Source organism: Homo sapiens, chromosome 1 (genome assembly GCF_000001405.40).
Source record: "Homo sapiens chromosome 1, GRCh38.p14 Primary Assembly".
Classification (NCBI taxonomy): Eukaryota; Metazoa; Chordata; class Mammalia; order Primates; family Hominidae; genus Homo; species Homo sapiens.
The window spans coordinates 148,482,237-148,483,961 of record NC_000001.11 but is presented as its reverse complement, the minus strand read 5'-3'; the positions used below and the strand labels follow the sequence as shown (position 1 = coordinate 148,483,961).

At 41.4% G+C, this 1,725-nt stretch overlaps 1 protein-coding gene across 1 annotated transcript; it reads left to right on the top strand.

Moving 5' to 3' along the window:
* Positions 1-659: 659 nt before the first annotated feature.
* Positions 660-1,414, top strand: PPIAL4G (peptidylprolyl isomerase A like 4G). The gene has a single exon (NM_001123068.3). It carries the CDS (start codon positions 710-712, stop codon positions 1,202-1,204), a length of 495 nt encoding a protein of 164 aa, NP_001116540.1. The 5' UTR covers positions 660-709; the 3' UTR covers positions 1,205-1,414.
* The last annotated feature ends 311 nt before the right edge of the window (positions 1,415-1,725 follow it).

Here is a 1,725-nt window from a genome sequence, read left to right as displayed (position 1 = left end):
GTTGCCTGAGACCTTTAAAGAAACAGTCAAAAATTTAAAATTTAAAATGCGGCTACACTGTTGCATGGGGTAGTAAATCTTGACCTTAAAACTGGTATTTGTAAGAAAAACAGAAAGAATTCAGGGATCCCCTTTGATGGCTCCTAATTCTATACAGTCCTGTAAATATTCCTGAAGACTAACCAGGCGTGGTGGTGCACACCTGTAATCCCAGCTACTCCAGAGGCTGAGGAAGAGAATCACTTGAACCTGGGAGGCAGAGGTTGCAATGAGCTGAGATTGTGCCACTTCACTCCAGCCTGGGTGACAGAGCAAGACTCTGTCTCAAAAAAAAAAAAAAAAAAAAAGAAGAAAGAAAGAAAGAAAGAAAGAAAGAAAGAAAGAAAGAAAGAAAGAAAGAAAGAAATGAAGACTGCCACAACTTGGAAGCAACCAAGATGTCCTTCAATGAGTGACTGCATAAGCAAACTGTGGTATATTCCTACAGTGGAATATTATTCAGTGCTAAAAGGAAAAAACTATCAAGCCACAAAAAGATACAGAAAAAACAAAGACATTTTGCTAAGTGAAAGAAGCCAGTCTGAAAAGGGTACATACTGTGATTTCAACTATACGACATTCTAGAAAAGGCCAAACTATAAAGACAGTAAAAAGATCAGTGGTTATCTTTGCAGACGCCGCCATCGCTGTGAGCCCTGTACTATCAGCCATGGTCAACTCCGTCATCTTTTTTGACATCACCGTCGACGGCAAGCCCTTGGGCCGCATCTCCATCAAACAGTTTGCAGACAAGATTCCAAAGACAGCAGAAAACTTTCGTGCTCTGAGCACTGGAGAGAAAGGATTTCGTTATAAGGGTTCCTGCTTTCACAGAATTATTCCAGGGTTTATGTGTCAGGGTGGTGACTTCACACACCCTAATGGCACCGGTGACAAGTCCATCTATGGGGAGAAATTTGATGATGAGAACCTCATCCGAAAGCATACAGGTTCTGGCATCTTGTCCATGGCAAATGCTGGACCCAACACAAATGGTTCCCAGTTTTTCATCTGCACTGCCAAGACTGAGTGGTTGGATGGCAAGCATGTGGCCTTTGGCAAGGTGAAAGAACGTGTGAATATTGTGGAAGCCATGGAGCACTTTGGGTACAGGAATAGCAAGACCAGCAAGAAGATCACCATTGCTGACTGTGGACAATTCTAATGAGTTTGACTTGTGTTTTATTTTCACCACCAGACCCATTCCTTCTGTAGCTCAGGAGAGCACCCCTCCACCACATTTGCTTGCAATATCCTAGAATCTTTGTGCTCTTGCTGCAGTTCCCTTTGGGTTCCATGTTTTCCTTGTTCCCTTCCATGCCTAGCTGGATTGCAGAGTTAAGTTTATGATTATGAAATAAAAACTAAGTAACAACAACAACAACAAAAAAGCTCAGTGGTTGCCAGGAGTTTGGGGATGGGTAGGGAGATAAATAGTTCTGAAACAGGCGATTTTTAGGGGATTGAAAATACGTTGGTAATAATGTAATGATGGGTACATGACATTATGCGTTTTGCAAAACTCCTAGACCTGTACCACACAAAGAGTGAACCCTAATGTAAACTGGGGGTGGGATAAAGGTGACAGTATGTGAGAACTCTGTACTTTCTGCTCGATCTTTCCATAAAGCTAAAACTGCTCAAAAAATAAAGTCTATTATTTTGTTAAATGAAAGAAATTAACAA

Excerpts from the sequence above, each read along its gene's own strand:
- PPIAL4G (NM_001123068.3), top strand. The coding sequence starts at position 710 with ATGGTCAACTCCGTCATCTTTTTTGACATCACCGTCGACGGCAAGCCC.